Raw genomic sequence first — 22,184 nt, forward strand, 5'->3', positions numbered from 1 at the left:
AACCTTTTTTGTGGGGTGGGGGTTCCAGCAGGGAGAAGGCTCAGTGTTCTTTTCAGATCATGCTCTGATCCTGTTCTTTGCTCCCCATTCCCCAGGTACTATAAACGGGGGCTGGGGTATGCAGGAAGAGACCAGGGTAGCTAAACAAAGCCTGGCCTGGCAAGGATTGAAAGAAACACTTGCAATGCTGTCATCTTCCTTTTCTCATCTGTCTGTTTCTGTTCCTTCCCTTTTGCACCAAGTCTTTCCCTATTGTTTCCCCCTTTATACCCTGAAAGCCAAAATGCACACCATGGAGCTCCCCCCGGCGGGGATCTTCCTTCTGCTGTGGTCTCTCCCATATCATGCTCCAGATTCCATTTGTCATCCACACCCCTACCCACCTGTCCTTTCAACATTTTCCAAAAAGACCTCCACCTTTGGGCATGCGCAGAGAGAGGGCTGCTGCCCACACATGCCAGTTTCTTAGTATGCCCAAGGGTACATGGGCCTGGTGTCTCCCTTTCTTCTTCACTACCAAGTGCAGGCATGGGTCCCCCCACATGCCTCCTCCCAGTGCAGAGGACTCTGATTTTGTTTGTTTTGTTTCGAGACAAGAGTCTCACTCTGTTGCCCAGGCTGGAGTGCAGTGGCCTGATCTCAGCTCACTGCAACTTCTGCCTCCCAGGTTCAAGCAATTCTGCCTCAGCCTCCCAGTGACTGGAATTACAGGCACACACCACCATGCTCTGCTAATTTTGAGTGCAGAGGACTCAGGTAGAGTCCTCTGCTCTGGTCTCTGAGGTGAACGGCCTTTCTGCTGAAGGCTGCCCCCGGGCTCACAGGATAAGAAAAGGGATAGAGGGGCCGGGAGCAGTGGCTCACCCCTGTAATCCCAGTACTTTGGGAGGCTGAGGCGGGCGGATCACTTGAGGCCAGGAGTTCGAGACCAGCCTGGCCAACATCGTGAAACCCCATCTCTACTAAAAATACAAAAAATTAGCCGAGTGTGGTGGCGCACGCCCATAATCCCAGCTACACGGGAGGCTGAGCAGGAGAATCGCTTGAACCTGGGAGGCGGAGGTTGTGGTGAGCTGAGATCACACCACTGCACTCCAACCTGGGCGACAGAGTGAGACTGTCTCAAATAAAAAAAAAAAAAAAAAAAAAAGGATAGAGGGCCCAGAACTCCCATGTGTCTATAAATGGAGAGTGAAGGATTCAACTGTTGAAGGAAGCTCTTGCTGAACGTGGACTAGTGCTTACTGTGCATGCTATGCTTACGTTGTTTTGTTTTGAAGTGTAAATAGGTAGACTCAGAAAACCCTGCTTCCTCTGGTCCATCTGCGCCCCCTGAGGGAGGGATGCTCCAGCTGGACAAGAGCTTAGACACTGCCTTGAGGGCAGCAGTAGTCAGAATGCAGCTCCCAGACCGCACCCCTCATCTCCCACCAGCGGACCCTTGAACAAGTCACTTAACTTTCTAAATGCTGTTTCCTCATTGGTAAATTGTGGACAACAGTACTGGCTTTTTAAGATGGTTGCGAGGATTGAATGAGATAGAGTGTATGTCGTGCTTTTAGCACAGAACCTGGCCCCAAGTAAGTGCTCACTAGCTTTCTATTATAAGCCAACTCCTGAGTTCTGAAAAGACTGGGTTACTTGGAGGCAAGAGTCTCAGAAGGAGTCCCCAAAGCTGATCAGAAGCTCAGAATGGGAAGGGGCTGGGGCAGGAGGGCTGTGCTTTGATTTGCTGGGGATGGAGTCTCAGCATCACCAGAAAGCAGAGTTCTGGAAATCTCACTCTGTTAATCATTTTGTACTTTCAATCGAAATTCCTTTTTCCTTTCCTTTGGCTTTTGGCGGCAGCACTCCCATGGTGAAGGTCGGTCTGCCCCAGCTGTGCTAAGACAAACAAAAGGAGGGGAGCAGGGTGTGGCAGATGGCAGCCAGCAGGGCTGCAGGGAGGGCTGGCGGATGGCAATAGGGCATCCTGCATGGCAGGGCATCCAAGCAAGGCAGCCCAGGGTGAGCTGTGAAGGGGGCATGGGCACAAAGGGGCAGCAGCTCTCCTTCACCCACCCAGGGAGTCCCCTTCTGGGCTCCTATTTTGTCATAACCTGGAGGGCTTGATATTTTGTCATTCCATCCACTACCACCCTTTACATCTCCCCCGCAAGACCAAAGACACTCCCCATTAAGACAAGAGGCAAGTGGATTACTTGGTGTTGGGATTTGTTGTGAGGTTTGCTGACACCTTGACCATTTTTCACTGGCTGGAAATGAAAGGAACTTCCCACTTGCTCTTTGAAGGCAATTTCATTCTCTCCAGGGTCCTTATTTCCTTCCCATATTCTCTCACACTCCCAAACTTCTGAAGAAGGGAGCAAACTTTGGCCACGAGGAAGGAGTGGAGCTGAAATAAGAGAGTCCAGGGTCTTGGAGGTGAAGGGGGAACGGCCAGGTCCTCTAGTCCAATCTTCTTTGCTACCTCCCCCCTCTTGTCGCTTTGCCCAGACCACACACCTGCCTCTGTACTTGTCACTGCACCTGCACTGTTGAATCCACCTTTCCTGGGTCACGCCGCTGTGCTGGGTGGTCACAGCCTAGGACCCTGTAGAGCCGCAGCCTCCATGTGAACTGGATTCAGGTCTGGTGCTGTGTCCTCAGTTCAGTGGCACACTTGCAGCTGAACCTCTTGGGGCTGGTGGGCACCAAGGGTCAGAAGCAATTCTACCCAAAGATGCTGGTGCTACCAACTAACTCCTCAAGGTAGATAACAACATATGGCTGTGCCCAACCTGCACTGGCTGCTGACCCAACCCTACCCTGTCCAGCCCCTCTACCTGAGTAAACACTTTCAGCTGCCCTCGAGAAATGGTAGGATTGGCTATGTGCTGAGCCTAGTGGCACTGCAGCTCATGGAGGCAGCACCGGCTTCAGGCCGCTGTGGCCTTGGTGGTCCCTTTGATGGCACGGAGGTGGATAAATGCCTGCATCAGCTGACACTGAGTTTGTGGACACCAGGGACCTCTGCAGCTAGCTGGGAAATCTTTCCCAGGAGGTCTCCCACCCCTTCCCTCTGGAACACCCCCTGACGAGGCCAGGGGAGGAACCCCTACTCTATGTTCTACTCTGGTACCTAGTGCTCACGGTGAGCAGGCTGGCTCGGGGCAGCCCTCCTCAGAGCTGGAGCGCCTTTCAGGTGCCCTCTGAACAGATACTGTTCAGAATACAGATAAACAGATGCCACCAAGGTCCCCTAGCTGTGCAGTGGAGGGGCAGGTTTCAAAATCAGATCTGTCTCCAAAGTTCCTGCTCTTAAACAAAGCTGTCCCATCTTCCCACCCCTCTCCATGGGCCTGTCCTCTCCTCTAAGTACCATATCCCAACTCTCCCAGGACTGGCATCATCTTAAGAGTCAGTGCCTTCTCTGTTCCCAGGGTCCCCACTGACTCCAACCTGCCCACGTCCTCCACTACATGAACCCAGAACTGTTGTACATGATGGAACCACCTCCATGCCCATGGGTACTGTCCTGCCACCAGCCCCAGTGGGAGGCACCTCTGCCTGTCCCTGTCCAACCCCAGTACCCCATCTTGACCAAGGCCATGCCCTGACCTGCCTCCAAGAACAGACCAGCAGCTCACCCCCTAGACAAAATCACTTCCTCTTTAATTGCTGTTGAAGAAGATTCACACCACTGCCTCCAAGGAGATGGGGGGGCATTTCCCCCTTGCCCCCACCTCTCTCCCCTCCCCAATTACCTGGTCCTTTGCAAACTATTTTAGCCAGAAAAAAAAAAAAAAAAAAAGACCGGAAACCACTGACACAGACAGCCCAAGGGCTGGGTTGGCTGAGGGAGGCAGGGCTGGGCCAGGTAAGTCCGCCCTATCACCCAGTTTGTGGGGAAGGGGCAGGGGGCCTGGAAACCCTCCCAGCCACCTCGAATCCTCTCAGCCCTGGCTGGGAGAGGTCACGGGGGTGAGGAATGGCTCTGGAGCTGCTCCAGTGGGAGGGAGGGGCTGGACAGAAAGAATAATGGGGGAGGGGTCCCACTGTAGGGGTGCCCCCTACCCCAGATCACCACGGGCGCTGCACAGTCACAGGTACGCAGTCACGGTCACAGACACAACCCGAGAGCACCCCCACCCCAACCCACCCCCTGCCCACCCTGGGCTTCCCCTACCCCAAAACGCCCTCCCCACGCCCCTGCCCGCCCCCATCCCCATGTTGGGGAACAAAGCAATAAATTACAAGGCCCCCGCAGCCCTCTTAGCCCGCTCCTGCTCCATCCCTTCTCCCTCCCAAGATAGTAGTGGGAGGGACCCAGGCTCTTGGTTCCCCCCGGACTCTTTAGCTTCCACCCATGGGTAGGTGTAGGGGACGTCCTGGTTTCCACTACTCACGGTCCCTTTCACGGAAAGGGTTGGGAACCCCCACCCCCATGAGCAGCAGGGGTCCTGCCCCTCGCTGCCCTTGCCCCCTTCACTGGGCAGTGAGATGAGCATGGAAGGGGTAGGGTTTCCGTATTGGCCCCAAGTCCCGGGGCTAGCCCTCCCATGTACTAAACCCTCCCTCTGGCGTGGCGTCGCCCCAGGAGCCAGCCTGGGTATGGGCTCCCGCCCTGGGATTGTTGAGCTCGGGCAGGACCGGGTCTTCTTTCCGCCCCTAGGGGGCACAAGCGGGCATGTCCAAGCGCCTAGGAGCCCGTACCGCTGGGGACCTCCCCTTCCGCGAACCCCGAGCGGGTAGACCCAGAGCAATCCGAGTGTGGAAACAATGGAGAGGGGGCGTGTTGAGCTGGGGTCTCCATGCCTCGTTGGGGAGAGGGAGGTGAGTTTGTGTCTTCTGGAAGGCGTGGGGGCTGTGCCCTCGTGGGGGTAGGAAGTGCTCCCGTGGGGCGGGGTGCGGATCGGAGAGGTGAGTGGGTGCGTCTGTCCAGCGGTCCGCCCGGTGTGGTCGTGCCCGGCCCGCGTGGGGATGGGGGTGTCTCTCCCGCTGGGCAACTATACCAGCGCAACCGGGGCGTCGGCGCGGCCCACGCTAGCGGCGCTGCTCCGGCGGCGGGGGCTGGGCGTGGCGGTGATGCTGGGCGTGGTGGCCGCGCTGGGCGTGGTGGCCGCGCTGCCGCCCTCACCCGGGCAGCCGTGCTGGAGAAGGATGTCGGCGCACAGCTGGCTTCCAGCCTGGCGGGCGTAGAACAGCGCCGTGCGGCCCTGGGCGTCACGGGCCGCCACGTCCGCGCCGTACTAGAGGGCGGAAACGGCCGCGTGACCGCGCGTCCCCAGGGCGCCCACACCCGGCGCCGCCTCCCCCACATGGCCAAGCCTACTTCCGGGGTCCCTCTGGGAATTTCGGGCTTTCCCGCGCCAGGCGTTTTCCGAGATGAAGCCTCAAAGACCCCCTTTCCTCCCCCCAGCTCACGTACCCACAGCAGCAGTTGCGTGATGACGACGTGGGCGAGCTCGGCCGCCAGGTGGAGTGGGGAGCGCAGCTGTGGGTCCTCTACGCTGGTGTCGAGCGGCCCGTGTCGCGCATGGGCCAAAAGCAGGAGAACGGTAGCCACGTCCTGGGCCTGCACGGCGGCCCACAGCTGGCGGCCCAGCGGCTCCTCCGAGGTGCTCAGCGGCGCCAGGAACAGTAGCTGCTCGTACTTGGCGCGAATCCACGACTCGCGCTCCTCCCTGCAAGACCAGGGATCAACGGAAAAGGCTCTAGGGACCCCCAGCCAGGACTTCTGCCCCTACCCACGGGACCGTCTCAGGTTCGCACACCCTCAGCAACCCTCCCCCCGCTCTGTTCCCTCACGCTTACCGCGAAGAGTCCCGCGAGGGCTTGGCACGGCCTCGCGTGTCGCTTTCCCACACGCGGTTGGCCGTGTCGTTGCCAATAGCCGTCAGCACCAGGGTCAGCTCCCGTGGCCAGTCGTCCAAGTCCAGCGAGCGAACGCGGGACAGGTGTGTGCCCAGGTTGCGGTGGATGCCAGAACACTCGATGCAGATGAGGGCGCCCAGGTTCAAGCTGGCCCACGTGGGGTCTGCGGAAGGAGCGTAGAGGTCGGCTCCCAGCCGGGCAGCACAGGCACCCCGGCATTCACTACACTCCCTAGCCCCTCCGCTGCCTCCTGGCACTCACTGGGGGCCCCGCAGTCCACGCAGATTGAATTCCCCTTGGCGTTCCGGATCGCCTGGATGGCCACGGCCTCGCTTTGGCTGTCTGTGCGCAGCTGCAGAGAGGGTTTGGGTTGGCACTGACTCTGCCTCCAAGCCCCACCTCCTTCTCAGACACCTCTGCTCTCCTCTCACACGACTTCGGCCGTGTCGTTGCCAATGGCCGTCAGCACCAGGGTCAGTTCCTGCGGCCAGTCCTCCACTCCACCTCAAACTCTTACCTTGACCTTGCTGCTCTCACAGCATTGCAGACTGGCTAGGATCTGACTCTCGATGGCCTGGACCCAGGCATCCCGCTCCTCAAAACTGGCTGCCTCAAAGTGCCACGTCTGACCCGTGCTGGACACGATCAGGAACTCAAAGTTTTCCTCTGAGTGGGGGATGGGATGGGGTCATTAAGGGACAGAGTTCAAGCAGGGGCTGCCTTTCCCAAGACCGTCCTCCCTGATGTCCATCCCGAGCCCCTGGGAGTGGGGCAGTGGGGGTAGGGAAAGCAGAGGGTGGGGGGCAGCAGGAAGCCCGAGCACATGCAGGGGAAGGCGGGGGCACCCCCACCCTTCTGCACCCCAGCTGAGCGCCCCTCCCGGCTCCCCACTTGTTACCTGCTTTATAAATATTTCTTAAACTACCAAAGGATTTTAGTTTCCACATTTTGCGCTTGGCTGGTTTCCCGAAGCGAAGGAGATAGAGATAGAATGGAGAGCAGAACAGAGAAAGAGAGACCAAGAAAGAAGGAGAAAAAGACAGGTAGATGGAGAGATGGAGAGAGATAGTGACAGAGTGCCAGAGACAAAGCAGGACAGACAGATGGGGAGAGAAAGCAGAACTAAAGTCAGTGGCCCCGGAGCAGAGTGGAACAGAAGCCAAGAGCCATGAGAGTAGGCAGATCTGGAACCTGGGTCTGAGCACCCGGCAGAGAGCAGGGGCAGCAGGGATGGGTTATCAAGACCAGCGAGGAGCTGGACCTCTGGGAGAAGAAGGGAGGGTCAGGATCTGAGTGAACACGGGGGAAGGGGACAGAAGCTGGGGCGCAGGGCTGAGATGAGAGGGCCCTGGGGCTGGTGGCGGTGGGGGTGCGGGGAATCACTGAGGGACAAGAATGGGGATCACTATGGTCAAGGGCTGTTGGGGAGCACTTGGCAATAGAAAGTTATCGGGAGAAGGCCGGGCACGGTGACTCATGCCTGTAATCCCCACCGCCTGTAATCCCAGCACTTTGGGAGGCCGAGGCGGGCAGATCACGAGGTCAGGAGATCAAGACCATCCTGGCTAACACAGTGAAACCCAGTCTCTACTAAAAAATACAAAAAATTAGCCGGGCATGGTGGCAAGTGCCTGTAGTCCCAGCTACTTGGAAGGCTGAGGCAGGAGAATGGTGTGAACCCGGGAGGCAGAGCTTGCAGTGAGCCGAGATCGCACCACTGTACTCCAGCCTGGGTGACAGAGTGAGACTCCATCTCAAAAAAAAAAAAAAAAAAGAAAAGAAAAAAAAAAGAAAGAAAGTTATTGGGAGAAGGGGCTGGGTGGTCACAGAATCCAGGATCTGGGGAATCAGTGGGAGATGCTGAGATAAGGGGCTGAATCACTGGGGATCAGCGGGGCTGCCGGGTGCAGGGGCTGGGGTGGTAAGTGGAGTTGAGGGAAGGAAGAGGAACTAGAACGTCATTAGGAGAGGGAGCAGGAGCTATAGACATGGACATCGTTGAGAACAGGGGCTGGGGAAAGGAATTAGCTGGGGAACAAGGAAAGAAGGACAGGGGCTGGGGGATGTCCATCCACTCTTTCACTAAGTTGTGTGCAGTGGTAATGGTAGTCAAGCACTCAGCTCAGGCACTTTTCCTCCTGCTGCAGGAGTTAGGCCAGGGAGCTGATGTTGGGGATGAGGGTTCTGGGTGGGAGTGGAAGTGCCTGCCAGAGCCTCACCTTCAGCCTGCCCAGCCGAGCCTTCAGTCTTGGATGGTGTTGTCAATTTTTTCCTCCTCTGCTTCTTCACCATGGGAGAAGGAGGGGGTTCCCGACTCAGGGGGCTCAGGTCTCCAGATGGGGTACAGTCTTAGGGAGGAAGACACAGCTGCCTCAGTAGCCCCCTCCACAGATTTCCTGATTTCTTGATAGCCTGTCTCATTCCCTGAACTAGCTTTGGCATTTTAGGGCTCCCCTCCTCAACTGTCCCTCTCCAGGAGTTCCCCCTTGATCATTCCTGGGGATGCAGGGAGATGAGAGGTTTAGAGTCAGTCCTGCACTCAGATCCTGGTTCTGCCACTTACTGGCCTTAAGACCTTGAGCAAGGCACTTAATCTTCTGAGCCTCAGTTTCTTTATCTCTGAAATAGGGGTAATAATCTTGACCTGACAAAACTGTTGTAAGGATCATTTGTTTACAATGTTATTTGCATACTATATATATATATTTTTTTTCAAACATGTCAAACATGGCTGACTATGTACTAGACAATATTCTCAGTTTGTTTAAACCTCAAAGCAACCCTCTGAGGTAGAAACTATTATCTCCATGTTACAGATGAGGAAACTGAGGCACGGAGAGGTCAAGTAACTTGCCCATGTGGCAAGCCAGGATTCAAGCTCAGGCAGTTGACGTTAGAGTCCACTTGTCTTAACCATTATGATAGACATGGTATGATTGAACTTATTCATGTGTGGGGCTCCATGTGTTCACTCATGCATTTATTCCAGCCTCCAAGCCTTCACCCCATATTCATTTCCCACACTCATCCTATTTGGGTGTGGAAGACAGCAGATGGAAGGTCATCCCCACTGACCCGTGCTGAGGGCTCGGGCCAAATTCCGGTCTGGCTTCAGCAGGTGTTTGGATGTCTGATCTGGTGGTGGCTGCAGGGAACTGGGGCTGGGGCTAGGGCTTGGCATGGGAGTAGTGGCTTCTGTCGGAAGAAGATGAAACCTCAGTGAGCCTCTTTCTTCTGGCCCCATTCCTTATGTGGTCCCTCTTTATCACCCAGCTTCCTACTCGCCCAGTGCCAGCCCCCTCTTCCCTCTTACCCCTCTTTTTCCCCAGCCCTGGCCCCTCTTCTGCTCCTATGTCATAAACCTTACTCACCCAGGCCTTCACCCATCTGGACAGTGCTCATGTCCTTGACGAGCCCGTTAATGCTGGCTGAGGGGCCAAAGGCAGAGATGGCCCTCGGGGGCCGCTTGCCCGGGACTTTGACTGTTGTTCGCAGCAAGTCCATCTCCTTGCCGTGGGTACTGTGGATGTAATCCTGGAGGGGTACAGGGCCGAGAGTGTAGGGAAGGTTGGGGTCCTTGGTATGCTGGGAAGCAGTCAACATGGTACAGAATAGAGAGGGACTGGGGAGGGGTCTTGGGGGCCAAATGGGTTGTGATGAACATCTAGGGGATGGGCCCATCAGACTTGGCCCAGCAATTGTCTCCTCCAGAAAGCGTTCCCTTCCTGGGTGCTCTCCCACTAGACTGCAAGTTCCTGGGGCAATGTATTTACCTTTACATTCCTGGCATGGGCACATGGTGGGCTCTTAACACATGCCTGCTAAACTTAAGAGAAGAGGACTAGCACTTCCTAGAAATGAGGTTAGTGCTTTGTCAGAGGCATAGACAGGTAGAACTTGAGGGAAATCCAAAGCTGGCCAATGTGGCCCAGTCTCTGCCACTCACGTTAATACTGGGGTGGTAGAGTAGAAAGCCATTACTGGACAGGGTTACATATTTCTTCTTCCATTCTTTGTTCAAGGAATTGCCACTTCGTTTTAGTAGGAAGCTCTGGAGAAAGGGGAAAGACACATGTGGGAAAAAAGCCAACTAAGACCAGCTGCCCCTAGCCTGTCCCAGCCCCTGGATCACTCACCTGTTTGATGGGGATGGCTCGCCCACTCCCTGTTGTCTCTCCCCGACTATCCAAGCTTCGTTTCTCGGAGTCACTACCCCGACGATTCTGGAATGGTTATTGGAATCAGTTTGAGGATGGATAGAGGGATACACTGATGTGACGATAGGGAAGATAGATGAAGAAGGGCCCAACAGAGGAGTCTAGGGACTAGGGAAGATGGGCAGGTCATGGGGGACAGGAGGATGGGGGTCAGCATGTCCATGTCCAATACCGCAAAAAGGCTGGTCCTGCGCTTGGCTGCCCGGTGCAGGGACCCTGGGGTGCTCAATCCAGCCACTGCAGCTGCCTCGGCTCGGAGCTCCCGGTGACCAACATTCGGTGAGGACGGGAGGGAAGAAGAGTAGTCGCTAGTGTGGCCCCCGTTACTAGCCTGGGCACATATGGAAGAGTCAGCAGAGCTGAGATGCCCCCTACTCCACCAAGCTACACTCATATCTCGTTATGGGGAATTTGAGACATTCCTTGATCACCTCACCATTTATTTATGTTGTCATTAATAATTTTTAAAATCCTCACTAACATTGTGACAATGCTTTAAATGTTGTAAAGGTTGATTCACAAGTATTGTGTCATACAATCTTCCTGATAGCCTTGGGAGGTTAGGTGAGTTGCTTAAGGACACTGCAAATGATGTCTCAAATCTGGTTGATTTCCAGTCCAATGCACTTTCTGCCAATAGTTTCACTGCCATTTCCATCTGTTTCCCCACTCCCTGAACCTCCTTGGGTACTCTGTACCTGTCCTAGGATCCCCAGCCCCTCTGCATCTTACCGGCCCCTCTGCAGACTCTGAAACCCCAACTCACCTGGCCAGCTACCGGAGTGGATGCAGCTGAGTGGCTTGGGGAGCTGGGCAGGGACTTGCAGGCAGCCAGAAGCTGTTGCTGCTTGCGCAAGGTCACCACCTTCTGGGCCACTGAGGGGAGTTGACGGAAGGAGGTGTGAGCAGGCCAGATACCCAAGACCACCCTTCCATGCCCAGCTTTGAGAAATCCCCAGTAGACAACACAGGACCCAACTTCCTTGTCACTGTGGCCTCCATGCCACCTGTGGCCTTGCCAGCTCCTCCAGCCCAGAAAGACCTTGCGACTATTAAGCAAACCTTCTCTGGCCTCCCTGATCTCTCCTCCCTCCCACAAAGGCTAATTTCCTGTCACTCACAGAGAGAGGCCTGGATGCCTGACCACTGAGAATATCCCAGGCCCCTTGCTCTGGCTTCCCACATATGCTGGAGATCACTACACTCACCCTCCTGGAAGACCCGATCCACATTGAGCCCATAGGTTGCACAAGTCTCATAGTAGCTGCAGCGTTTCATGTCCGCGCACAGAGCTCTGGCACGAGCATCTCCCACCACCCGAGGGGAGGAAGCACTGATCCTGTCTGAGGGGACAGGAAAGGGGCAGGATTGAACAAGGAGCCCCACCTTGTTCGATTTTTCACAATTCCCTTATCCTTGCACTGGGCCCTCAGGCTGGGTCCACTGGGGATGGGGTGTGAGAGATCATCTTTTCTGTGACCAGGTGGAATGGGAGTACATAAGCCCTTTCTGAGTACTGGGCCCAGTTCACACACCTAGCTGGGTGAGCTGTGTGTGTGTGTGTGTGTGTGTGTGTGTCCTCAAGGAATACTCCAGAGCTGCTGAGTGGTGCTTCCTGACAAGGTCTACATAGCTGAGACCCAGGCGCGAGCGACAATCACCCTGCCCTGCAAATCCATAGAACCCTGAACTGGTGGGAGGACACCAGCTTGTGAACTAGGAAAAGGTTGGGTGCCCATGGGTCATGGCTGGACTGCCCACTCTGCAGCAAGAAACCAGGATGCAAGCAACAGGTGGAGATAGGCACCAGCAGAACAGGCATCCAGACCAAGTCCCACCAGCTCGACACAGGGGAGTGCTGGAAAAGCATTTCCTGGCCCTGGCAGAGTCTGGGAGCCTCTGAGTCACTTCTCTGAGAACTAAAAGGTTTTCTGCTCTCTTCTTTTCATCATCATTTCCTTTGTGTTTTCACTTTGTTTTTGGATAAGTTCCTTTAAAAGGTGTCAGCCTTACCCAGCTGTCGCAAAAAGGAAGATGGAAAAGGTTTCCTATCCACCCTAGGACTTGAGATTTTCTGTGTCCTAGGATGGTGGCACTAGGAAATGGCAGTGTCAGAACACAAGGTAGGTGACATTTCAGGAGAGGCAAGGAGATGGCTACTATAGCTGTCCTTTCCTCCCTGGAGATCCCCTTTTCTCTGCTCAGACCTTGGGAAGTTATTGTTTGGTTTCATGACTCCCTTATTTGGAGACCAGGCTCCCTCCAGAAGGGTACTATAATCCAAGTGGCCATTTCCACACCTTACCAAGTTCTCACCCATGTTGGGCAATATCCCAGTAGCCTCCTTAGGGCCTCCCTTGAAAGCAGTGCTTTCCTAACCCCTCCTTACCTTGTGTCCCCACCAGTGCCAAGGCCAGGCCTCCTCGTCCCTCCCCGCGAAGGGAACTCAGCTGCCCATGGAGACGGCTCACAGCCTGGAAACTGTTCTCATCCTCCAGGCTGAAGACGAAGATCACAGCATCTGCCCAGCCTGAGAACTTGCGGGGAGTGAGGGAGCAAATGGAAAGTCAGACAGGTCTACTCCTCTGGACCCAATCCAGATGAAGACCTGGGAAACCAGAGCCCTCTCCTTTGGCCAGTGCTGACCCCAGCCAGCCTGTCCCCCACCACCTCCACCCTCACCTTGGCATCAGGTGCCCCAGCTTCCTCTCGGATTAGCACCAGATGTGTCTGTCCATCCACCAACATTTCTTTCTTGTACTGCTCACCTGTCCAGAAGAGTTGGAAGGGGTAACAGGTCAGAGGTGACAGGTCACCAAACCTCCCCATGCTCCCAGTGCTTTTGCTATTATGGCCTCATCCTTCCCCCCTGGTCTCCACACCTGCCTAATCATTGATCTCACTCCTGGATCCCTGACCCCAATGGTTAGCTTACTATGGCTCTTCAGAACTCACTCTCTGTCTTCTCCAGCACCTGGTATGAGCCAGTCAGGAATCGGTGGATGAGCGATGACTTCCCACTCCTGGCATCGCCCAGCACACCCTGAGGGCAAGGTTGTGGAGCAGAAATTGTGGGATATAAGAGAAGGCAGGATGCATGGGTCTGGACACTCCAGAAAACCCAGAGAGATAAGTCATCCAAGCAGGACCCTACAGGGCCTGGATGACAGTCATTCCAGAGAGAGCAGTTGGGAGGATCAGAGCAGCTGGGGGGATCAGAGCAGTTGGGAGGATCAGGGCATGAGTGTGGTAAGAAATGATCCCAAGCTCAAAGTGGAGCACGAGCTGAAGAATGTCAGCAATTCAGTACCAGCTTTTTTGTGTGTTGGGTTGTTTAGAAAACATACTAGATATGTTGTGTGTGTGTGTCTCTGTGTGTGTGTGTTTGTAGCATGTCACAGCTCTAGGCACTAGTTGGAAAACTTTACCCAATTCTAGGCAGTACAACATGAAGGCCAAAGGGCAGATACCAGAAATGAGAAGCCTGGAGGAGGACCATGAACAAACAGGAAAAAGGGGATGGCTGCATAAAGACTAGATAGGAAAAACTTGTGAGGAGGCTGTAGCAAACCCCATGTTGGTGCTATGAAGGCAGACTCTCAGGAGAACTGGAAAACGATTCCCTATTCCCAAAGAGAGAGAGAGAGAGAAGGAGAGGTGAAGGGAGAGAGCTGAGAGTGCAGTGGGTGGGAGGTCAGCCTTCCCTATAGGCAAGGGGACTGGGTTACCTACCAGGCGCAGTTCAGGAATGGAGCGGCTCAAAGTCCATTCCTGGCTATTGATCACAGCCTCTGTAACGGGAGAAGGGCAGTAAGAGGGGAGGCTCCTGGCTCAGAAGGACCCCCAACACTGAGCCACCCCTCCTCCCTCTGCAGCTTTCCAACCCCCCCCCAACCCTGCCTGCACTGGAGAGGTGTGTGCAACAGACAGGTTTGAGGGTGGTCCCCAGGCCTCCCATCCCAGCCACTCTCCCCCAGCTGTTGCTGCCGCTCAGTGGTTGCTTAGCAACGGAGCTAGCAAGACAAAAATACTTCAGTTGGCATCTCCCTTAAAGCACATCCCCAAACGCGGGTCCTGGCCCCAGACAGGGAGACCAGGGCTCTGACAGTGGCAGGTTCTTCCCTCTGGAAAAAGAATAGAAGAGGAGCTCCTCCCTAACCCACTGGTTCCCAGGGCAGACCCTGGGAGGAGGTGCTGAAACACAGAAGAGAGTGTGTCTTCCCCAACCTCCATTCCACAGGAGAGAAACTGAGGTGAGGGGTTTCCCTCCCCTTCTTCAAGGTCAACGGCACTGTAGCCCTGGACCCCTCCCCACAGCCCAAGGGAAAGAGCTAGGATTTTCCTATGCCTCCATCTCCCACACCCTCCCCACAAACGCCCTCCAAAAGAACTGTGGGGAAGGGCTCCATCGCCTGGCCGAGAGAAGCCACAGGCCCGGGGGAAAGGATGCTCCTTCCGCCAGCCAGGTCCAGCCCCCGCGCCTGACACCGGCCGGACGTTCCCGGGGCGCCGCAGCTGCGGCGGGAACTCTGGGATCCGGAGCCATCTGCTCCCACCCGCTCCGGAGCCAAACCCCGGGGGCCGCCTCCGCTCCCGGACCCGCCTCCTCTCCCGGGAGTGTGAGCCGAACCAAGAGTCTCCTGCCTATCTCCTCCAGTAGGAAAATAGTAATAATAATAGACACCCTGCCCCCGTAAAAAACACTACCTTCCCCGTACCGCCTCCCAAGTCTCCCGGGGTACGGATTGCCTTTGCAGCAGTTCCGCCCCACCTGACTCACTCCAGGGTCAGCCCCGGGTGGGTTTCAATGCGGCTCTGGGGAGGGGGTGGGCAGTGGGGGAAGTGAGGCTTCCTATCCGCCCCCTCTCACTTCACATTTAAATATTCTGCACGTTCCAGCCCCCGCGGACTCGCGTACCGCCCAATCCGCCTTCACCGCACGAAAAACATCACTAGCCTGCTCTCAGCCCAGGGGACGACTAGTCCCTGGCGAGAAGCTGCCTGCAAGGTCACTGTCATGCCACCTGCCCCAAGTGCTCAGGGGAAACTGAGGCTTCCTCATCCCCTTCACCTTCAACGTCGCTCTAAACACGGCAAAGCCCCGTTTCCATGCTCCCAGAGTTCAGCTGAGGCTGGAAGTGGGGTCCTGGGCTTCTCTGGGAGCAATTTTCTAGTCACTCTGATCAAGGACGTTACTTTCCCAGAAAGCTCTGAGGCTGAGTCCCTCTGAAATCAAGTCCTTTCTCCTGTCGCACAATGTAGCTACTCGCCCCGCTTCAGGACTCCTATTCTTTGCCCCAATCCTTGACAGAGGGGTGAGCTTGGTTCATCCGCCCACCCCAGAGAAAAGCTTCCCTAGTTTCCTGGACCTCGCTCCTCCACCCCAAGCTGAGCATTCCAGGTACCCTTCCCTCCCTGTTCTCAAGCCCTGACTCAACTCACTAGGGGAAGCGCGGAGCTCGGCGCCCAGCAGCTCCCTGGACCCGCTGCCAGAAGACAGGCTGGGGGGTCCGGGAAGGGGCCCGGAGCCAGGAGGCCCTCCTGTGCTCTTGGTGAAGATGCCGCTGATAAACTTGAGCATCTTGCGGTCACGAGTGGATGCTCGGCCCCCCTCCCGGCCCCGTTTCAGCCCCGGAGCTGGAGGCTCCAGAGTGATTGGAGGTGCAGGCCCGGGGGGCTGCGCGGAAGCAGCGGTGACAGCAGTGGCTGGACTCGGAGTTGGTGGGAGGGTTAGCGGAGGAGGAGAGCCGGCAGGCGGTCCCGGATGCAAGTCACTGTTGTCCAAGGTCTTACTCTTGCCTTTCCGAGGGGACAACTTCCCTCGGGCTCCAGCCCCAGCCCCGACCCCACCAGAGGTCGAAGCTGTAGAGCCCCCTCCCCCGGCGGCGGCGGCGGTGGCGGCGGCAGAGACCGAAGCTCCAGTCCCGGCGCTGCTCTTTGACCCCTTGACCCTGGGCTTGCCCTCGCTTTCGGGCCATGACAGGCGGCTACCCGCGCCCTTGCCCCCGCCGGCTTTGGCTCCACTCGTGGTCACGGTCTTGCAAGGCTTGGGAGCCGGCGGAGGAGGCGCCACCTTGAGCCTCCGGCTGCCGGTGCCAGGGTGCGGAGAGGATGAGCCAGGGATGCCGCCGCCCGCCCGGCCTTCGGGCTCCGGGCCGCCCCAGCTCGGGCTGCTGAGCAGGGGGCGCCGGGAGGAGGTGGGGGCGCCCCCAGGCTTGGGGTCGGGGCTCAGTCCCCCGGAGAGCGGGGGTCCCGGAGGGACGGCCCAGAGGGAGAGGCGGCGGCCGGGAGCGGGGGAGACTGGGCGGGCCGGACTGGCCGGAGCCGGGGACAGGGCTGGGGGCTCCGCGCCCCCGGTGCCCGCGCTGCTCGTGCTGATCCACAGCGCATCCTGCCGGTGGAAGAGACGTTCGTGCCGCTTCTTGCCCGGCTCCTCCGCGCCTCGGGGGCTGCCAGGATCCCCAGTCTCGGAGCCTCTGGCACCGGCGGCGCCGGCCGCGGCCGCAGACGGAGAAGGCGGCGGCGGAGGCACCGACTCGAGCTTAACCAGGGTCAGCGAGATGAGGTAGGTCGTTGTCCGGCGCTGAAGCGCGCCCGCGCCCCGGCTCATGGGGCCCGGAGACCCCCGAGCTGGGGAGGGGAGGGGACTCCCCCGGACTGCCTCAGGGGGGCCCGGCCATGGGGCCGCCCTGCTCGCTGCCCCCAGCCCCCGGACCCCGCTGAGCCCCCGGCCCGGCTCCGCTGTCGCCGCCGCCTCCGCCGCCTCCGCTTGCGCCCCCCTCCCATCACATGGGGCGCCCCCTCCCCATGCTCCCCGCCCTGCGCCCCCACCCTCTTGGAGCCCCGGGACCTTGGTGCTGCTCCAGGGAGGCGCGCCGGACCGTCCACCCCGGCCTGGGTGGGGGCGCTGAGATGGGTGGGGGAGGGCGGGGAGGACAGTAGTGGGGGCAAATGGGGGAGAGAGAGGAAAAGGGAGCAGAAAAGGGGACCGGAGGCTAGGGGAAACGAACCTGTGCGGGGGAGGCAGGGGCGGGGAATTGGGACTCAAGGGACAGGGGCCGCGGATGCGGTCGGAAAGAGGGTCTAGAGGAGGGTGGGAAGCTAGTGGGGCTGGCCGTGCGGGGGATTCGCAGGGGCGCGGGGAGGATGCTGGGGATGGAGATACAGGAGGCGGCGGGGGAGGAAAGAGGGAACGGGAGGTGGGTGGGAACCCACGGGTCTGGGGTCTGGGAGGGGAGGGGCGTGAGATCCGGGCGAAGAGTCCGGGGGCCTCGCCTGGGCTCGGCTTGGTCCGGATGCGCGCTGTGTCCGGGCGCTCCCCTCACATTGAGGAGGAGGCGGCCCCCAGGCCCCCCCACCCTATCTCCCCCCCACCTTTTCTCCACCAGCACCGATGTCTGCGAGGGCGGTGCAAAATCCAGGGCTGGATTTCTCTCCCAAATCCTGGGCTGGATTTCCTGGGACTTGGACTCACCTCCTCCAACAACCTAGCCCCCTCCTCTCGCGCACCAAGGTTAGGAAGCGCGATTGTGAGGTATGGCATTTAGGGATAAGGGTGAAAATCGATCTATTGGGTGGACAGGGGCCGCGGTAAACAGAGCAAACCCAGGGTCACTGCCAATTCTGGGGAAGATGAAGTGGGAAAGTGGGGGCCCTGAAATCCCTTCCCCCAGGATCTCTTGTCTCCCCCAGGTACCTGGACGGTTCCCGTTCTCATGACCCAGCTCCCTTTCCCACTCACACCACCACATTTAATACTTTGACGGGGCCAAGACTTGAGCTCGACTGTCCCAAAGTGAACTTGGAAAATGTTCCCCAGGGATGGGGACAAACATGGAACTTAGCAGGGTAGGAGAGAAGGGAGAGATCTGAGTGCTGGAGGAGCCCAGGCCACAGGGTAAGTCAAAGGCTCCAGCTCTAGGAGGAGGGAGAAGGATGTGTCTTAGACTGATACCCCCCCATGCCAAAATGCATCCAGTCTCCATAGCAACCGTAGCTCCAAGAGTGCCTCAGAAACAGCGGGCAGAAGCAGAGAGGAATCCGTGTGTATGGTGGGTAGGGGACCAACCGCGGGATGCTGAATTAGTGGAGGCACTGCCCTGACACCTGGCTACCCACAGGTGGAGGATTTCACTCCCCAAGTATAAGGACCCTTCAGTTGAGGCAGTGAGAGCCGGCCTCTTCAGGGTTCCCTTTCAGTCTCCTGAGGTTTGCTGAGTGGGATTCTTTCAGAAGATTAAAGAGGAGGCAGGCAGAGTGAATGGAAACCGTCTGCTCCGTGTCCCCCACCCCTCTAGGGGTCTTGGAGTTCAAGGCTCTCTATCCTCCAGCCAGGTGAGAATCCTGAAGTGGTTAGGCCAAAGTGGAAAAGAGGTTGAGACCCCTTGGGGGTGGGGTAAGATGGGCGAAGGAAGGTCTCTCTGCAGCCTTGGAGACCCCTTCCCGGGACTTGGGGAGTCACAGCAGTCCCCTGATTTGGCGTCCCACCCTCCTGACGCAGCTGAGACTATAATAAGTGCTGCCGTGGGCGGCTCTTGGAGGCAGGAGCCCGCAGCGTGCTTGGCCTGGTGGGGGGCTGAGGGTGGGGGGGCTGAGCCAGGATGCCAGGAGCCCTTTGTTCTCCCAGAGGCCTGTATCCAATCCCTCCAATGTTCTGTCCTGGGGCTCAGCAGTTTCTCCCTCCCTCCCTACAGAACCAAGATGACACCATCCCCAGGACAGGAGACCCTTCAGTAGTGTTTTTTGATGGAGAGGGTGAAGGAGAATTGTTGGCTCTGGCTTAAACTTCCCTCCTTTGATGGCCTCGGTTTTCCTTTATGTTCAATGGGAACAGAATACTAATTCTTAGAGAAGGAGTAAAACAAATCACTTATGAGGAGTGAAGCCTTCTCAGGGATTTCCACCTCCACCCCTCCTCACCCTCCTCCCTCTCCAGAGCTAAGCACAGCTTTTCTGCCTGGCCTAAACCGCTCTTCTCCTTTATTATTATTATCATTATTATTTTTGAGAGGGGTGGGGCTTAGAGTTTCTCCCTAGGAGGCCCCATGGCCCACTCCCCCTTGGTCTGCCTTTCCAAACACTAAGGCTGTCAGGGGAAGCTTCAGGTGTAGTTCCTGGCAAAGGGTATGGGACAGGAGGTGAGAGGGGCACTAGCCTCCGAAGAACAATGGGAAGGGGATCATCAGACTGTCCCACTAGGCATCCAAAGCAAGCTGTTCCTTCCCCAAGTTATACTCTGGTGTACTAGCAGAGAGGTCTGGCAGGAGGTGTCCTTGAGGGAAAGAATGATCTCTTGACAACCACCCAGGTAGGCAGGTAACAATGGAGAAGACTGAAATGGCTGGAAGAGATCAGGATATGATGGAAGAAGTGTTTCCACCAGACACCTTTCATGAGCAAAGAAGGCTGCTTTTGTTAGCTCTTTGCTGCATCAGAGGTGAATGGAATGACAGCGAGCTGGAACAACCTCCAGTTCCACCAGTTCCTCAGTGGTAGGGCCTTGTGGATGGAGAGAAGCTGTTCCTGCCAGGGCTCCACCACAGGACTGAAGCCTGGGGTGGGCAGGAGGATGTGGCGGATGGTGTTGCCATGGCAGCATTTCCTCCCTGTGTTGTCATCACTTGCTCTAATGGCACTAAGGAGGTAGAGCGGAAGGTGTGTGGGGGGAAGACAGGAACAGGAGCAAGGGGAGGAGAGGGGACCAAGAAGAGTTCTGGGGACCTATCTGCACTTTGGCTCTGCAGAGCATAGTGTGTGAGAGTTAGTATGCGCTTGGGAGCCTGAGATTCTCTGCATGGTGTACTTCAATGTGCATGCGTGTGTGTGTGTGTGTATGTGTGTGCATGTGTTTCTCTCTACAGCTGGAGAACAAGAGGTCACTGATCCTTTGTGGGTCCTGGGAATGAACTCATTATCCAGTCCCAGAACCTGCTGCCCCAGACTGCTTCCTGCTCTGGACTCCCCAGGCAGGGAACAAGTCTACCATGAGTCTGTCACAGCCTATCTTCCCCATGCTCACACATTTCTTCATTGCCAAGAAGGTCAGCTCAACAGGGACCTGTATTTTGATCTCCTGGGAGAAGGATCAGAGCAGGGAAAGAGAAAGAATGATACCTCCCATGTCTTTTTCCATCCTCCCTAAATGTATTCTTTCCCAGAGTCCCATCTTGGGGACTAGGAAGTAGCTGACTGGGAATTGATATATGATACAGCTAAACCTTCTATGCACCTGCTAGTCCCTGATACACCCAAGTTGAGGGCTGACCTTTCTCTTACCTCGAATGCTGTCCAATGAGGCCTGGATGCTGTCCTGGAGTTCGGGGTCGTCCACCCTCTCTGCCAGCTTCCTGAGGCGGTTTAGAGCCTGCTTGGCCACCTCATGTCGTCTGACTTCTGCTCTCACTGCAGCTACAACGAACTGCCTCTGGGCATGCATGTTGCCCAGACCTGTCTTGCCAGGCTAACAACCACCTCTGGCCCTGAGGCCCATGGCCCTACAGCCCCCAAACCTCAGAAGGCCCCTTCTGCTGTGCCCAGAACTCCCCGCCCCTGCCCGCCCTTCCGTCTGTCGACCTCACTTCCTGACTGGTGAGTTTCAAACCCACAGCCTGGGACAGCACTACCTCCTGCACCTCCCACCCCCTCTAGTGTTGGCCCATCAACCCTGCCAGCCAGTCCCTGCTATGATTTCCCAGCCAGGTGGATGGAGAAATCTTAACAGTGTCCCAGGGCCTCCTGTGGGAGGTGGCTAATTAAGATGGGTGTTGGTTCTGGGAGAATATGGCAAGCTAGGTCCGAGGTGCAATCCTAAACTCTTGATGACCTGCGGATTTCAAACTCTCACAGGAATTCATGCACATTTGGTCTGTTACCCTCACAGCCCTGCATTCTAGTATACACTTGTACCCATTGCCCTCTCTACACATCCCAATGAGCCCTGTATCCTTATGTCTTACGATGTAACCCTTTTTCAGGCAGCTACCCACTGAGGCCACCTCCTGTTTAAAAGGGCCAAGTGAGGCCAGGCGTGGTGGCTCATGCCTGTAATCCCAGCACCTTGGGAGGCTGAGGCAGGAGAATCACTTGAACCCAGGAGGTGGAGGTTGCAGTGAGCCAAGATCACGCCACTGCACTCCAGCCTGGGTGACTAAGCGAAACTCCACGTCAAAAATAAATAAAATAAATAAATAGGCCAAGTGATTATGGGGAAAATCAGTTATGAAGGAGGAAAGTAACCTATAAAAAGACAAAAACTACCATGTTCCATGTCCAATCGCTTTCATAATAATTAACATGACTATAACACTTAATAGTTTACAACATACTTTCATATATATATTATCCTCATGACAGCCCTGAGGAGTAGGATTATTTATCCCTATTTGCATAAAAGGAAACTAAGGCTCAGAGAAGCCATTAAGAGGTGAAACAAAGACATGGATTTAGGTCTTCTGATTTTATTTTTACATTTTTATTTTTATTTTTTACCAAGCACATAAAGCCCAGATTGGTTATAATTTTGATACCCTTTTCACTACACCACACAACCAAAATGCTTGTCAACCAGTTCCCCTTCTAATATCATTGTCTTGCCCTTGATTTAGGACCTCAAAGAAAAGAAGGTAGATGAGGAACTGAAGGAGACAATGAAGATGGGACTTGGGGTAGGAAGGGGATGGAGGTGGGGAGTGAGGGGGTGGGAGGTAGGAGGTAGCGGGTAGTTTGACCTAATTACTTTGTTTCCACCGGACGCCTGTAATCGTAGCACTTTGGGAGGCCGAGGCGGGCAGATCACCTAAGGTCAGGAGTTCGCCACCAGCCTGGCCAACATGGCAAAACCCCATCTCTACTAAAAATACAAAAAAATTAGCTGGGTGTGGTGGCGGGCACCTGTAATCCAGCTACTCGGGAGGCTGAGCCAGGCAGGAGAATTGTTTGAACCCGGGAGGTGAAGGTTGCAGTGAACTGAGATCGCGCCACTACACTCCAGCCTGGGCGACAGAGGGAGACTCTGTCTCAAAATAATAATAATGATAATAACTTAATTACCTTGTTTCAAGACCCAAACACCTCTCTCGCCCTGTCAAACATCTATTCTCCTGCATACCTTTT

At 56.3% G+C, this 22,184-nt stretch overlaps 1 protein-coding gene and 1 long non-coding RNA gene across 5 annotated transcripts, besides 6 other annotated features; one reads left to right on the forward strand and one right to left on the reverse strand.

Annotated features, from left to right (window-relative positions):
• Window positions 2,198-20,598, reverse strand: AGAP2 (ArfGAP with GTPase domain, ankyrin repeat and PH domain 2). 4 transcript variants are annotated; one of them, XM_005268626.3, is made up of 19 exons: window positions 20,349-20,598; window positions 13,806-13,864; window positions 13,029-13,116; window positions 12,756-12,841; window positions 12,463-12,610; window positions 11,282-11,416; window positions 10,840-10,949; window positions 10,246-10,404; window positions 9,993-10,079; window positions 9,803-9,907; window positions 9,228-9,390; window positions 8,932-9,051; window positions 8,076-8,204; window positions 6,755-6,814; window positions 6,374-6,522; window positions 6,118-6,208; window positions 5,797-6,019; window positions 5,411-5,666; window positions 2,198-5,231 (listed from the first exon to the last, which is right to left on the reverse strand). In XM_005268626.3, exons 1-19 carry the CDS (start codon window positions 20,506-20,508, stop codon window positions 4,989-4,991), a joined length of 2,571 nt encoding a protein of 856 aa, XP_005268683.1. In that variant the 5' UTR covers window positions 20,509-20,598; the 3' UTR covers window positions 2,198-4,988. The 4 variants fall into 4 exon arrangements, with proteins under 4 accessions (XP_005268683.1, NP_055585.1, XP_005268682.1 ...); NM_001122772.3 differs by lacking the exon at window positions 20,349-20,598 and adding an exon at window positions 15,516-17,179 and having other exon boundaries at window positions 3,634-5,231; NM_014770.4 differs by lacking the exon at window positions 6,755-6,814.
• Window positions 4,677-6,793, forward strand: AGAP2-AS1 (AGAP2 antisense RNA 1). Its single transcript, NR_027032.1, has 2 exons — window positions 4,677-4,815; window positions 5,402-6,793. It is a non-coding gene; the product is annotated as an AGAP2 antisense RNA 1 (long non-coding RNA).
• Window positions 5,259-5,894: an enhancer, noted in NCBI's record as "H3K27ac-H3K4me1 hESC enhancer chr12:58120605-58121240 (GRCh37/hg19 assembly coordinates)". NCBI's record gives its function as "activates a minimal SCP1, AML or CMV promoter by ChIP-STARR-seq in naive H9 embryonic stem cells {active_cell/tissue: H9 hESC(naive)}" and the evidence as "EXISTENCE:reporter gene assay evidence [ECO:0000049][PMID:30033119]".
• Window positions 5,895-6,528: an enhancer, noted in NCBI's record as "H3K27ac-H3K4me1 hESC enhancer chr12:58121241-58121874 (GRCh37/hg19 assembly coordinates)". NCBI's record gives its function as "activates a minimal SCP1, AML or CMV promoter by ChIP-STARR-seq in naive H9 embryonic stem cells {active_cell/tissue: H9 hESC(naive)}" and the evidence as "EXISTENCE:reporter gene assay evidence [ECO:0000049][PMID:30033119]".
• Window positions 12,067-13,266: an enhancer, noted in NCBI's record as "CDK7 strongly-dependent group 2 enhancer chr12:58127413-58128612 (GRCh37/hg19 assembly coordinates)". NCBI's record gives its function as "activates an origin of replication core promoter dependent on BRD2, BRD4, P300/CBP, MED14 and CDK7 cofactors, with strong dependence on CDK7, by STARR-seq in HCT116 cells {active_cell/tissue: HCT116}" and the evidence as "EXISTENCE:reporter gene assay evidence [ECO:0000049][PMID:35650434]".
• Window positions 16,332-16,551: a silencer, noted in NCBI's record as "fragment chr12:58131678-58131897 (GRCh37/hg19 assembly coordinates)". NCBI's record gives its function as "represses an EF-1alpha promoter that drives an FKBP-Casp9 reporter gene in an ReSE screen in K562 erythroleukemia cells {active_cell/tissue: K562}" and the evidence as "EXISTENCE:reporter gene assay evidence [ECO:0000049][PMID:32094911]".
• Window positions 19,725-19,804: an enhancer, noted in NCBI's record as "active region_6551". NCBI's record gives its function as "activates an Ori minimal core promoter by ATAC-STARR-seq in GM12878 lymphoblastoid cells {active_cell/tissue: GM12878}" and the evidence as "EXISTENCE:reporter gene assay evidence [ECO:0000049][PMID:35858748]".
• Window positions 20,338-20,397: an enhancer, noted in NCBI's record as "active region_6552". NCBI's record gives its function as "activates an Ori minimal core promoter by ATAC-STARR-seq in GM12878 lymphoblastoid cells {active_cell/tissue: GM12878}" and the evidence as "EXISTENCE:reporter gene assay evidence [ECO:0000049][PMID:35858748]".

Source organism: Homo sapiens, chromosome 12 (assembly GCF_000001405.40).
Source record: "Homo sapiens chromosome 12, GRCh38.p14 Primary Assembly".
Classification (NCBI taxonomy): Eukaryota; Metazoa; Chordata; class Mammalia; order Primates; family Hominidae; genus Homo; species Homo sapiens.